General features: G+C 37.1%; 1 protein-coding gene across 1 annotated transcript, besides 3 other annotated features; it reads left to right on the forward strand.

Annotated features, from left to right (window-relative positions):
• Positions 1,128-1,744: an enhancer, noted in NCBI's record as "OCT4-NANOG hESC enhancer chr11:55025437-55026053 (GRCh37/hg19 assembly coordinates)". NCBI's record gives its function as "activates a minimal SCP1, AML or CMV promoter by ChIP-STARR-seq in primed H9 embryonic stem cells {active_cell/tissue: H9 hESC(primed)}" and the evidence as "EXISTENCE:reporter gene assay evidence [ECO:0000049][PMID:30033119]".
• Positions 1,763-2,338: an enhancer, noted in NCBI's record as "OCT4-NANOG hESC enhancer chr11:55026072-55026647 (GRCh37/hg19 assembly coordinates)". NCBI's record gives its function as "activates a minimal SCP1, AML or CMV promoter by ChIP-STARR-seq in primed H9 embryonic stem cells {active_cell/tissue: H9 hESC(primed)}" and the evidence as "EXISTENCE:reporter gene assay evidence [ECO:0000049][PMID:30033119]".
• Positions 2,399-2,940: an enhancer, noted in NCBI's record as "OCT4-NANOG hESC enhancer chr11:55026708-55027249 (GRCh37/hg19 assembly coordinates)". NCBI's record gives its function as "activates a minimal SCP1, AML or CMV promoter by ChIP-STARR-seq in primed H9 embryonic stem cells {active_cell/tissue: H9 hESC(primed)}" and the evidence as "EXISTENCE:reporter gene assay evidence [ECO:0000049][PMID:30033119]".
• On the forward strand, positions 5,322-14,281 carry TRIM48 (tripartite motif containing 48). Its single transcript, NM_024114.5, has 6 exons — positions 5,322-5,478; positions 8,067-8,481; positions 8,767-8,862; positions 11,517-11,539; positions 12,409-12,506; positions 13,604-14,281. The coding sequence occupies exons 1-5, from the start codon at positions 5,435-5,437 to the stop codon at positions 12,503-12,505; spliced, it is 675 nt and encodes a 224-aa protein (NP_077019.2). The 5' UTR covers positions 5,322-5,434; the 3' UTR covers position 12,506; positions 13,604-14,281.
• The last annotated feature ends 593 nt before the right edge of the window (positions 14,282-14,874 follow it).

Below are 14,874 nucleotides of genomic sequence, written 5' to 3' on the forward strand. Positions count from 1 at the left end.
ATCAAAGGGAATGTTCAACTATGTGAGTTGAAAGCAAGCATCACAAAGCAGTTTCTGAGAATGCTTCTGTCTAATTTTTATGTGAAGATATTCCCGTTTCCAACGAAGGCGTCCAAGTGCTCCAAATATCCACTAGCAGATTCTACAAAAAGAGTGCTTCAAAACTGCTCAATGAAAAGGAAAGTTCAACTCTGTGAGTTGAATGGACACATCACAAACATGTTTCTGAGAATGCTTCTGTCCAGTTTTTATGTGAAGATATTCCCGTTTTTATGTGAAGATATTCCCGTTTCCAGCAAAGGCCTCAAAGCACTCCAAATATCCTCTTGCAGATTTTACAAAAAGAGTGTTTCAAAACTGCTCCATCAAAGGGAAGGTTCAACTCTGTGAGTTGAATGCACACATCACAAAAAAGTTTTGGAGAATGCTTCTGTTTACTTTTTATGTGAAGATATTCCCGTTTCCACCGAAGGCCTCAAAGCTCTCCAAATAAACACTTGCAGATTCTATATAAAGAGTTTTTCATGACTGCTGTATCAAAAGGAATGTTCACCTCTGTAAGTTGAATGCAAACATCACAAAATAATTTCTGAGAATGCTTGTGTCTAGTTTTTATATGAAGATATTTCCTTTTATACCATATGTCTCAAAGCACTCCAAATATTCACTTGCCAATTCTACAAAAAGAGTGTTTCAAAACTGCTCTGTCAAAAGGAAGGTTCAACTCTGTGAGTTGAAAGCACCCATCTCAAAGAAGTTTCTGAGAATGCTTCTGTCTAGTTTTCTTATGAAGATATTTCATTTTCTACCACAGGCCTCAAAACGGTCCAAATGTCCACTTGCAGATTCTACAAAAAGAGTGTTTCAAAACTTCTCTGTCAAAAGAAACGTTCAAGTCTGTGAGTTGAATGCACACCTCCCAAAGAGATTTCTGAGAATGCTTCTCTCTAGTTTTTATGTGAAGAAATTTCCTTTTTCACCATAGGCCTCAACGTGCTCAAAACGTCCACTTGAAGATTCTACAAAAAAAGTGCTTCAAAACTGCTCTAATAAAAGAAAGGTACATCTCTGTGAGTTGAATGCACACATCACCAAGTGGTTTCTGAGAAAGCTTCTGTCTACTTTTTATGTGAAGATATTTACTTTTTCACCACAGGCCTTAAAGTGCTCCAAATGTCCTCTTACAGATTCTACAAAAACAGTGTTTCAAAACTGCTCTATCAAAATAAAGTTTCAACTCTGTGAGTTGAATGCACACATCTCAAAGAAGTTTCTGAGAATGCTTCTGTCTAGTTTTTATGTGAAGATATTCCCTTTTCCAACAAAGGCCTCAACCCGGTCCAAATATCCACTTGCAGATTCTACAAAAAGAGTGTTTCAAAACTTCTCTATGAAAAGGAAGGTTCAACTCTGTGAGTTGAATGCACACAAACAAAGAAGTTTCTGAGAATGCTTCTGTCTTGTTTTTATGCGAAGATACTTCCTTTTGCACCAGAGGCATCAAAGGGCTCCAAATGTCCTCTTGCAGATTCTACAAAGAGAGTGTTTCAAAACTGCTTTGTCAAAAGAAAGTTTAAACTCTGTGAGTTGAATGCACACACCACAAAGTAGTTTCTGAGAATGCTTCTGACTTGTTTTCATGTGAAGATATTTCCTTTTTCACCACAGGCATAAAAGGGTTCCAAATGTCCGCTTACAGATTCTACAAAGAGAGTGTTTGAAAACAGCTCTATCAAAAGAAAGATTCAACTCTTTGAGTTGAATGCACACATCACAAAGAAGTTTCTGAGAATGCTCCTGTGTAGTTTTTATGTGACGATATTTCCCTTTTCAGCCAATGCCCCAATGCGGTCTAAATTTCCACTTGCAGATTCTACAAAAAGAGTGATTCAAAACTGCTCTATCAATAGAAAGGTTCAACTCTGCGAGTTGAATGCACACATCACAAAGAACTTTCTGAGAATGCTTCTGCCTACTTTTTATGTGAAGACATTCACGTTTCCACCGAAGGCCTCAAAGCGGTGAAATATACAATTGCAGATTCTACAAAAAGAGTGTTTTGAAACTGCTCTTTCAAAAGGAACATTCAACTCTGTGAGTTGAATGCACACATCAGAAAGAAATTTCTGAGAATGCTTCTGTCTAGTTTTTATGTCAAGATATTGCCGTTTCCAACAAAGGCCTCAAAGTCGTCCAAATATCCACTTGCAGATTCTACAAAAACAGTGATTCCAAACTGCTCTTCCAAAAGAAAGGTTCAACTATGTGAGTTGAATTCACACTTGACAAAGAAGTTTCTGATAATGCTTCTGTCTAGTTTTTAAGTGAAATATCCCGTTTCAAACGAAGGCCTCAAAGCACTCCTAATACCCACTTGCAAATTCTACAAAAAGAGTCTTTGAAAACTGATCTAAGAAAATGAATGTTGTACTCTGTGAGTTGAAAGCAAACATCACAAAGAAGTTTCTGAGAATGCTTCTGTCTAGTTTTTAAGTGAAGATATTTACTTTTTCACCACAGGCCTTAAAGTGCTCCAAATGTCCTCTTACAGATTCTACAAAGACAGTGTTTCAAAACTGCTCTATCAAAATAAAGTTTCAACTCTGTGAGTTGAATGCACACATCTCAAAGAAGTTTCTGAGAATGCTTCTGTCTGGTTTTTATGTGAAGATATTCCCTTTTCCAACAAAGGCCTCAACCCTGTCCAAATATCCACTTCCAGATTCTACAAAAAGAGTGTTTCAAAACTGCTCTATGAAAAGGAATGTTCAACTCTGTCAGTTGAATGCACACATCACAAAGAAGTTTCTGAGAATGCTTCTATCTAGTTTTTAAGTGAAGATACCCCGTTTCCAATGAAGGTCTCAATGCGTTCCAAATATCCACTTGCAAATTCTACAAAAAGAGTGTTTCAAAACTACTCTAAGAAAAGGAATTTTCAACTGTGTGAGTTCAAAGCAGACATCACAAAGAAGTTTCTGAGAATGCTTCTGTCTTGTTTTTATGTGAAGATATTTCCCTTTTCACCATACTCATCAAAGGGCTCCTAATGTCCACTTGCATATTCTACAAAGAGAATGTTTCAAAACTGCTCTTTCAAAAGAAAGGTTCAACTCTGAGTTGAATGCACACATCACAAAGAAGTTTCTGAGAATGCTTCTGTCGTGTTTTTATGTGTATATATTTCTTTTTTCACCATAGGCCTCAAAGCGCTGCAAATGTCCAATTGCAGAATCTACAAAAAGAGTTTTTCAAAACTGCTCTATCAAAAGAAAGTTTCACCTCTGCGAGTTGAATGCGCATATCACAAAGATTGAGAATCTCAGTCACAGGAGAGCTGCTGTGTATAGATGTCTGTGGCAGGGGGTCAAGGTATTCATGCTGCAGAAGACAAGCTGGAATCTCCCTCCACCCCTATTTCGACCCAACCAAGGGCTCTGGTTCCTTTCATAAACCTGCCTCTAGTCTTCCCCACCTTTCTCTGTTCCTATCCCCTCTCTAATTGCTGGATGAGGCTGTGCTGCTGCAGCCAACTGTCTGGCCCCTGAGCATTACATCCCCGTACTCCAGGCCTTTATTCATCACCAAAACAGCATGGTACTGGTATAAAAATAGGCACATAGACCAGTGGAACAGAATAGAGAACCCAGAAATGAACCCAAATACTTACAACCAACTGATCTTTGACAAAGCAAACAAAAACATAAAGTAGGGAGAGGACACCCTATTCAACAAATGGTGCTGGGATCATTGGCAAGCCACATGTAGGAGAATGAAACTGGACTGTGTGGCATAGACAAACTTTCTTATTATTATTCAATGAAACACTCACGTAGGACCTACTGGGAAGGTATTTTGCAGAGGTAATGAAAGGTCCTGCTCTTGTAACTAGCAAGTGTATTCAGGTAAGCCTGACTTCATCAGTGAAAGTCCCTTAAAGAAAGACATAGGCATTCCTTGAACAACATTTAAAATAGCGAATGGGACTGTAATCTTCCAATTGCCCCCTACTGACTTGGGACCAAAGCTTTGAATCATGATCACTGGGATCCAGCCAGCTGAGGATTTTTCTTCCTAACTGACTTTAACAGGGATCTCATACTTGCTCAGGCATCCCATCAACTGTGGAAACCAGTTCCTTGCACTTAATTCATATGTGAATCTCCCTAAGTATACATATATATTATGGGTTCTGCTTCGATTTTTGAACCTTGACAGACTTTTTGAACCTCGACAGACATAGGGCTGACAGATTTGTCTTCACTGTTCTGAAACTCTTGAATATAAGTCTTGTGGGGGCTATTGGCAAAGAATTCCTCTGTCAGAATATATTTGAGTAGCCGCTTCTGAAATCTCTTTTCTTTTTTAAATTGTCACATGACAACAAAAATATTTGTTATAGAAAGAAAAATATAATCCATCCCTATCGTTTGGATTCTGTATTTGTGAATTAGCCTACGTCCTAAAACTTGTTTATAATCCCCAAATTAATTACTATATTGCATTTCTAGTCATGGCAGAACATCATGCACCATGTGGAGAAAAGCATTAAAATAATAACTCGTATTTCACCCACGAGATTGGCAAAGTTTTGTAAATTCAATAAGAGACCTCAAATTAGTAGAGTTATTTGGTTAGTCAGTGATTTCTCTTAGAGTGGTAGAAAACAAAAAAAAAAGTTTTACCTTCCTGTTGGACTTCTCTTCCAATATCCTATAAATGTACTAAAGCAGCATTTAAGGCTGGACGAGGTGGTTTATGCCTGTACTCCCAAGCACTTTGGAAGTCCAAGACCAGAGGATCACTTGAAGACAGGAGTTGGAGAACAGCCTGGGCTACAGAGCCATACCCTGACTCTATGAAAAGTTTTTAAAAAAATTAGCCAGGTGGGATGATTTGAGCCTGTAGTCCTAGCTACTTGGGAGGCTGAAGAAGGAGGATCCCTTGAGCCTTGGAATTCAAGGCTGCAGTGAGCTATGATTATACCACTGCACTCCACAAGGAGACAGTTTCTCTAGAATAAATAAATGTGCCCTTAAAGGAATGCCTGTATCTTGGATGAAGCTCAATAAACAGTATAAAATGCATCTTATTTAATTTGCAGTGTATGTCAAATCTGATAGGATTTATGTTACATATGATTCATTTCAGTCATGGTTTTTTAAGGAGTGATGATAATTTAATCAGCCGTGCAAAGGTGTGATCTAAATACTGCATAAACCTAATCATCTTATTCTCAACCTTTCTCAATACTCCACCCACTTAAAGAGGTGGGTGTGGTCTTCACAGATTCTTATAAAGGACATAGAAGAGACAAGCTCAGTTTTCTCCAAAGGAGAAGGAGTGCACTTAGAGGGAGCTGTGTTTTGGTGACCTCTGAAACTCAGTACTGCAGCGAATGAGCTCCTGACCTTGAGGAGTACTTAACAGAATTATGTCTCGAAGAATCATTGTGGGAACCCTTCAAAGAACCCAGCGGTGAGTGAAACTTATATTGATAAAATTATATCTTCTTTCCTTTACAAAATAATAAATTAGAGTGTTAAAAATATCTCATTATCTTAAATCTACACAATGATACCATCTGTAATTCATATTCTTACTATAGATTTTATGAATTATGAGGATATTAATTGTTGTTATTTTGCATTTTCTATCATTCTTCAATATAGTTTTGAAAAAATGAAAATATCTAGTGTTTGCTGCAACAGATATGTATGCATAATGAATATATGGAGTTGATATTTATACATGTATGTACACATAGGTGTGTGTAAATATATGTGTAATGAGTGTATTAATATTATACAATTGAATTGAGAAGACATTAATGAATGTTCATTCATTCATTCAGCATTTACACATAACTTTAAATTAGTAAGGTAATGATGAGAGATGAAAAATAGTGAAACTGAAAAAAATGAGAAAGCTCCCCAAAACATCCCAGTTTGGAAATCAAAACACAATTTTTTGACCAAATAAATATATGATATAATTTGATATGTGATGGTGGTTGCCATCTCACTTGAGTTTTAATCTTATTAAACTATGAAAAATTCCTTACAATGACTTAGATGACCTCTGGAGAATATTTACAATTCTAAGATTTTTCATTGCTTTCACTAAAATTCAGCAGCGTTATCAAATAAAGGAGAGTAACGAAAAGGACTTAAAATTGCCAAAGACCATAGTTTATATATTAGTCAGGGCTCTCCAGACAGACAGAATCATAGGGTGTATATGTATACATGTAGAGATACATTCATGAGCCATTTCAGTCAACAACAAACCACACATGGTGGTCACATAAGATTATAATACCAGTATGTTTACTGCACCTTTTCTGTATTTAAATGTTTACATACTAAATAATTACCACTGTGTTACAATTGCCTAGAGTATACAGTATAGAACACGCTGTACAGTTTTGTAGTCTAGGAGCAATAGGCTGTACTGTATACCATAGGTTTGTAGCAGGCTATACCATCTAGGTTTGTAAAGGTAGATTCTATCATGTCAAAACAATAAAACAATAAAACCTAGGCGCAGTGACTCATGCCTGTAATCCCAGCACTTTTGGAGGCCGTGGCAGGCAGATCACTTGAGGCCGGGAGTTCAAGTCCAGCCTGGCCAACATGGCGAAACCTCATCTCTACTGGAAAAAAAAAAAATGAAAAAATTTGCCGGGTGTAGTGGCATGTTCCTATAATCCCAGGAACTCAGGAGGCTAAGGCAGGAGACTCGCTTTGACCCAGGAGGTGGAGGTTGCAGTGAGCCGAGATTGCACCACTGCACTCCAGCCTGGGTGACACAGTGAGTCCCCACCTCAGAAAGTAAATAAATAAAGCCTCCTTACACATTTCTTAGAACATATATCTGTCCTCAAGCTACACATGATTCTACACGAGGGGAATTCATCAGGAAAATTCGTTTGCTTGATTATGGAGTCTGAGCAGTTCCAAATATAGGCTGTCTTTAAGCTGATGTAGTGAGGATACTGGTATCTTGACTGATCTCAAGGCTGAAAGCCTCAGAACCAGCTTCAGGAGAAAGAAAGAGGAAATTGCCTTTCCTCTGGCCTTTTCCTTTTATCTGAGCTACAAGCTGATTGAATGGTACCCACTCAAACTGAGGGATGATGGTCCCACTCAGCTCACCAACTCACATGTCTCTCTCCTCCGGAAACACCTTCACAGACCCACCCAGAAACAATGCTGCACCATTTCCCTGGGTGTTGGTTAATCCAGTCAGACTGATACCTAAAATTCACCATCACACCATGGAAATATAATTACACCTCTTTAAGTTTAACAAAAATCCTACTATATGTTAGTTCAGAGTTTGGGTATCCCTAGGAGAAGTTAATTCAATCCAAGAGAAAATAAAAAGGTCCGATATCTTTAATGATTTTTTCTCTTCTATTCAACCTAAATTGGTTTAATTGCTGTTTTTTATTTGTTTATTTGGTTGGTTGATTGGTTTTTCTATTTCGCTTTGGATTTGGTTTTTTATTTTACTTTAATTTTATATTATTTTCAGTCCTGAGATAAACGTGCAGGACATGCAGGCTTGTTACACAGGTAAACATGTGCCATGGTGGTTTGCTGCCCCACTGTTGTGTCTCTCTCTCAAAATATATCATAGGACCCTCTAGCCATCTTCTCGTATTTCTTTGGCCAAGACAGTTTTTCCCACTCTTTCACACTCATTCGGCAGTCATATGAAAGAAGAATAGGAACAACTACAATTTATTCTAGGCTACTTAGAATCAAACCCAATTTCCAGATCCACATTCAGAAAAAAATGGGAAATTGAATAGATTAGTATTATGTTACAGACAGGCACTAGGAGTAGAAGGGGTTGTGAGGCATCTAGTCAGTAATATCTATTATAAAGCCGGGAGACTCTCTGTGTGAGATTTTTATTTTTGTTACAGAAGAAATAGTTTGTTGTGCTTTAATGAACACTGTCAAGAGAAGAAACTATAGCTATCACTTATCTCCACATGTTCAGAAGCTTTTCATCAACCCAGACCCCAAAATGACATGCTGCTCTTTCTTCCTCAGAAACATGAATTCTGGAATCTCGCAAGTCTTCCAGAGGGAACTCACCTGCCCCATCTGCATGAACTACTTCATAGACCCGGTCACCATAGACTGTGGGCACAGCTTTTGCAGGCCCTGTTTCTACCTCAACTGGCAAGACATCCCAATTCTTACTCAGTGCTTTGAATGCATAAAGACAATACAGCAGAGAAACCTCAAAACTAACATTCGATTGAAGAAGATGGCTTCCCTTGCCAGAAAAGCCAGTCTCTGGCTATTCCTGAGCTCTGAGGAGCAAATGTGTGGCATTCACAGGGAGACAAAGAAGATGTTCTGTGAAGTGGACAGGAGCCTGCTCTGTTTGCTGTGCTCCAGCTCTCAGGAGCACCGGTATCACAGACACTGTCCCGCTGAGTGGGCTGCTGAGGAACACTGGGTAAGTGATGCCTCTGAAGATCTATTTCTATAAAGGACACATGAAATTCCTGTGGCCCTATTTTCTTGGAGATTGGGTAAAGCCAACTCTGAGTCCCTTTAAGCAACTCTCTTTTGGGCTTTCTTAGCTTCAAACCTCTGAGATTTGACGAGGAAGAAGTGAAACAGAAGAAATGCCATTTACTAGGGACTTATTTGTCTCTCATTCTGGGCCCCCTCCCAATGAAACGGTCTGTATGTTACTTTATTGTCTTCACTGGTGCTTCAATTTATGGCTCTTTTGCAGGAGAAGCTTTTAAAGAAAATGCAGTCTTTATGGGAAAAAGCTTGTGAAAATCAGAGAAACCTGAATGTGGAAACCACCAGAATCAGCCACTGGAAGGTTAGTCCTGTAATACCCTACCTTCTCCAGGAACTTATGGTGGGCAAATGGGTGACTCTTAAAATAGGAACTTGATATCAAACCGTAATGTTTCTGGGAGTCAAAAAAAAAAAAAAAAGAGAAGAAAACATTGAGAAAAAATGGTCTCATTTCTTATGTAGAATAGTGTGACTATTAGATGGGATTTCTAACAAAACCGTTGATGTTACCCAAAGCATGCTGATTTGTTTTCATACAAACCTGTAGCTATACACCAACAGATACAAGAAACTGGGCCATCTCACAGCATTCTATATGTGCTGGTTGGATAAATGCTGGGCATAAGAGTTATTTGGCAGTCATGGAAAGCTCAAGTGAACCTTCTGAGCCTGGGTCAGCATTAATCTGAATGCTGGTGGACAAGTAGTATTTGGAATTGCATGGAAAATTTGAGGCAGAAAGAGTGACAGGGGAAATCTAGGGCAACCATGAAATTAAGAATCCAAACTAATTAATATTGAATAATACATAACATATGATGAGAAAAGTGGTGAGAAATATGGATTTGTGTCTTGAGGGAGACATGCAAACATGCCCAAAATATGGGAACTAGTATCTAAATATAAGGAGAACTCTGAGGACTTCAGAAAAATATTAAAAATGATTTCCTCTTTGTGGATGTATACTCTGAGGGTATGATAGCTAATATTAGTGTGTTGAAAAGTATTTCATAAGAACCTAGTCTATGTTGAATATTAAATTAGAAAATTTGCCAGTATAGAAGAAAGAAAGCATCTTTGTCCTCACAAATCGTACAATCCAAATGAGAGAGGCAAAAATGGTCAACATGCAAATATGTGCAATACATGATGTGTTCGAGTGTGGTAAGTTCTTTGTTGGAGAATAATCAAGCAGGGAAGTAGAAAAGGACAATAGAGGCCAGAAACTGGAGATTAGTGTGTGAGTTTAAAATAGGGTGGTCAGAAAAAAGACTCACTGAAAAATTCAAATTGAACAAAGTTTCAAAGAGGAAGGGGAGCACAAAAGTGTGTATGGATATATATGTGGACCATGAGTGTGTATATGTGTGTGTGTGTGTCTGTGTGTAAAATTCCAGTTGGAGAGAACAGCATATGCAGTAATTTTGAGTTTGTGTATATTTGGAGGCCTGGGGAACCAAAGAAGTCTATGTTTCAGATTGGGATGACTTAGAAAAAGAATGGAAGGAAATGAATTCAGGGAGACAAAAATGGCCAAATCATAAATGCAGCTTTATTAGGATAGGTTTTGCTGGGCGAAATGCATTTAGCTGGACATGTTAGTCTAAGGTCATTTCATATATAATGAGTTTAAGCAACTTGTTACATATCTCAGAAATAGAAATAATTATTTCCTTTCTAGTAACTATAGCTCTATACTCCAACTCTTAAGCATGAACTATTCTTACTTTTCCATAAATGTGGGTTGGAATAGAGAAATTCAAATTGTGTTTTTTTTTATTTCCAACTATCTTAGAACACTCCTTATCTTGAATAAATTTAATGTAATTGGTCAGATACATCTATGTTGATCTTTATGCAGAAAGAAAGGAAAGGAAAAAATTTGTGGATTCTAAGAACTGGCAAGACTGAGGTTTAAACTATTGGATGTTCGAGAGACAAAAGGAATCAGTGAGATTTAATAGGAGATGGATATATACATTTCTCTTTTGACTAACCCATTATTACTGCCGTATTATGTGAATGTAAGGCTAGAAGCTATTAAAGCTGAGTATCAGAAGATGCCTGCATTTCATCATGAAGAAGAAAAACATAATTTGGAGATGCTGAAAAAGAAGGGAAAAGATATTTTTCATCAACTTCATTTAAGTAAAGCCAAAATGGCTCATAGGAGGGAGATTTTTAAGAGGAATGTAAGCGGAGCTGATGAAAATGTGCCATAAACCACATGTGGAGCTACTTCAGGTACAAACTCGCAATGTGGTTTCAGGTTTTTGACTATTCACATGTATAAGTATTTTCCTCATGGCTGAAATCCATCTCCCTACCTTTATTTCCATGATGTGTTTCCAAAAACACATTCGCATAACTAATGCTACTTTATTGGGAGAGTATAGCCCCGCCAAGGGATCCTACCAGGCCAAAGGTCCCTCCTACTTTATCCACCAGCCACAAAACTTTGTGGAATGGTCAAGGTAACAGCCCCAATAACTATTCCCCAACTAAGTCAATAATACATTTAGGGTTGTCAAACATGTATAAAATAGTGAGTGATTCATTTACATTTAGGTTAATTTGAGGACATGGCAAGATCAGAAGTTTTGGGAATCTAGGCTCACATTAATATTATTTTGGGATCCACTCATTTGGATAATAGGTTCTGGGAAAGATGACCGAGTAGGTTATTCGAGGTTACCATGGAGCATAGACTCTCTGGGCTTCTTCTCCCTTCACTTTTTGGAGAATGTCTTCAAGACTCAGACTTTCCCGGGACATTAATTAGTGACAATATGATTGACTGGGTTTTTCATTACAGAAGAAATAGAAAATGCTTTGCAGAAGAGAAGAAGGTAGGGAAATAATATCTTGAGGAACTGACTCCAAATTTCACACTGAACTTAATGAAAGATGCATCTTGTGAACTGCACTAAATCTTTCTATTTTTTTTTTTTACAGGCTTTTGGAGACATATTATACAGGTGAGTATGTACCTGGATTTTAGCATATGTTCTTTCACTTTCCACGAATATCAAAGCAGGCTCTACCAAAGTCATGGCATAAACGATTAAGATATTGATACTATTTTTTTTTGCATCTTCTTTCATTCCCACACCAGAAAAGACAAGACCACTAAGTAAATAAATACATAAATAAATAAATAGTGAAGTAAAATTTTAAAAAACATGTTTATTCCTGACTTTGTTTTATTGCTTAAAAGCCTGCATAGGTGAAAGATGAAGTTTTGTTTTGTGGATGGTGAGAAAGTCACCAGAGGAAGCAGGAGAGAAGTGGGGGAAGTATTTTAGCAGTGAAAAAGTTGATGATTTGTTGTTCATACCTATACACATATCAGTTAACAGTTCCGAAAAATAGATTGAAAAAACTATGGAGTGTTAGAACTGTATAAGTCTCTAGGGAAGCTTGTTTCTAAAAGGCAGGTCTAGCTGCCTAGGACAAGTTTCACATTCTTTATCTTGAAAAGGAAGCAGCAGATGCAGCAGTCTCCCCAGAACCCCTCTATTTCAGACAAAGATGTCAGGGGAGTCTGCCAAGAAGTGGAACTCAGAATTTCGTTTCTAAATATTCTCAAGGCCATAAGGCTAAGGAACTTTACACATTTGGGGCAAAAAATAAGAAACATCAGACTGAATTCTGACTCAGACTCTCCCACTATGCTTTAAAATTTGGAAACTGTAAATAGAAATTAATTCCAAAAAGGAAGGAATAATTTTTGAATTATCAAATTTGTGGGTTCAAAGGATTCTCATGAAATGTCTTTTAAACACAAGTAGTGATTTTTATTTATTTTATGGCTGTAGATGTTGTAACTGCAGGTTTTTCCTTGCAGGAGTGAGTCCGTGCTGCTGCACATGCCCCAGCCTCTGAATCTAGCGCTCAGGGCAGGGCCCATCACTGGACTGAGGGACAGGCTCAACCAATTCTGAGGTAAGTCTCCACCCACAGGCAGCACCCCCACTATCTAAATATTATTATTGTTAGGATCACATAGGTAATATTTCATCCTTTATCAAATATTTTACTACTTTATAAGCATAAGAGAACAATATAATCATGCAACCCTTTTGTATCTGTGTCTGTATAGTCAGATTTATAGCATTAAGATTGAAAGATAGTGAAAAACAAATACATTATGGCCTCATATGTACTGAGTAATGTAATGGGAAAAAAGGAGTAGTGTAGCAAATCTAAAAAAGGAGCAAATGGAACAATGCTCAGAATGAAGGTGAGTTATTTAATGTTAAATACAAAATTTTACATTTCTTTGGTGTATTCATTTGAACAGTTAAGAACTGTTCTTTTGGGGAATATAGTTCGCTGGAGATTCTTGGGGTTTTTTAATTTTTTAAATGGATATATATTATGTATTTCCAAGAAAATTAGTTAATGGGTAAAAATAAAAAGAAATCATTTTGTGAATACAAGTAAAACATCAAACAAAAAGAAGTTCAGTTTAATTGCAATATGAAAAGCTACATGTTAAGTCTAAAATCCAGCTTCAGCCCCAAGCTAACATGGAGGGCCACAGAGAGACTGGTAAAAGATTTTGCAGAAATCTGCTTCAAATGATCACTTATGACATGTACTTATGGATTTTTATCCAGTTATCTAGAGCAGTTCTTGAGTAACTGAAAATCTTCACATGCTTTCCAAAATGATGGCACTAGTTTTTAAGAATAAGAAACATTTCTAAATAAAGATCTTGATAACAGCATAGCATTTAGGGCGTATAATGTGCAAATTTTGCTTTGAAAATTGGATTGAAAGAAGTTGGTCTTACATTTGGCTGTCAGTATGTAAGTTTTCAAAACATTTTTAATATCTGTGGTTAGCATTTTGTTTGTCTTGTAGATAATATTAATCATCTCTATACTTTATTAGAAGTTACAAGCAAAAGTGTCCTTGTGACTTTACGTTTCCTGGTAAATTAACTTTTTGATAGAACGATTTTTGCTTATTTACACATGCCTATGCATGTTTTCTTTCTTTCTTTCTTTCTATTTATTTATTTATTTATTTTGCAGTGGATATTACTCTGCATCACAATGAAGCCAACAGTCATATCTTCCGATGTGGAGATTTGAGAAGCATTTGTATTGGATGTGACCGTCAAAATCCGCCCCATATCACTGCAACACCTACAAGTTTTCTTGCATGGGGTGCTCAGACTTTCACCTCTGGCAAATATTACTGGGAGGTCCATGTGGGGGACTCTTGGAATTGGGCTTTTGGTGTCTGTAATAAGTATTGGAAAGGGAAGAATCAGAATGGCAATATATATGGAGAGGAGGGACTCTTTAGTCTTGGGTGTGTTAAGAACGACATTCAGTGCAGTCTCTTTACCACCTCCCCAATTACACTGCAGTATGTCCCAAGACCTACCAACCATGTAGAATTATTCCTGGATTGTGAAGCTAGAACTGTGAGCTTCGTTGATGTTAGTCAAAGCTCCCCTATATACACCATCCCTAATTGCTCCTTCTCACTTCCTCTCAGACCTATCTTTTTCTGTATTCTCCTCTGACCAGAGACAAATCAGAAATGTGTTCATCTGCTGTGGGAACCCCTTTATCCCAGAAAGCCCTCTTCCTTGTGCCTTATCAAACAGGACAAATAGGTTCGGTTTTATGTCTTGAATTGCATTCTAATGTTATTAAAACTCATTTATTGTGTTACTATTAAATGTAGTAAAAACACTAAAAGTATATATATTGGTTCTTTATTAATTAATTTTTGAAAAATCATTATTCATGATCATGGCATGAAATATATTATCTGGTTTTTTTTTATTTTTGACTGCCACTGAGTGAAATAATAGATGACAGACATGTCTGAATGGAGTTAAAATCAGTGGAAGAGAGTTGGGATCTTTTGCTTCATGCAAAAACTTGGAGTGAAGTCTTAATGATAACTGGGAAATGTTGTTTTTCTTTCTCTTTATCTAACTATATTGCTCTTATCCATCATGTTTCATTGTACTAATCTATCCTTTGAGTTAATATAATTTGACCTTCCATGGTGGGCTTCATTTTGGAATTCTCACCACATAGATAAATAACCCCGCATTATTAGTGTGCTCTTCTACATTGAAATACACAAGGTGATCAGAACAATGCTGGATTAATTGAATTTTTTTTTTAAAAAGTAACTAAATATTGACTCCTACCTCAAAACACACACAGTCATTTCCAAATAGATTCAAGTCCTGAAGGTAAGGGGAACATGACACAATATTCTCATAAGGATTTCTTAACCAGGACAAAAATTAACAATTAATAAAATTAGTTGGTTTATA

This window comes from Homo sapiens, chromosome 11, assembly GCF_000001405.40.
Source record: "Homo sapiens chromosome 11, GRCh38.p14 Primary Assembly".
NCBI lineage: Eukaryota > Metazoa > Chordata > Mammalia > Primates > Hominidae > Homo > Homo sapiens.

Bases quoted from the DNA above. Each gene is read 5' to 3' on its own strand.
- TRIM48 (NM_024114.5), top strand. From the start codon at position 5,435: ATGTCTCGAAGAATCATTGTGGGAACCCTTCAAAGAACCCAGCG. The intron at 8,482-8,766 runs GTAAGTGATGCC...GCTCTTTTGCAG, and splicing joins GGGCTGCTGAGGAACACTGG to GAGAAGCTTTTAAAGAAAAT. The intron at 8,863-11,516 runs GTTAGTCCTGTA...TTTTTTTTACAG, and splicing joins CCAGAATCAGCCACTGGAAG to GCTTTTGGAGACATATTATA.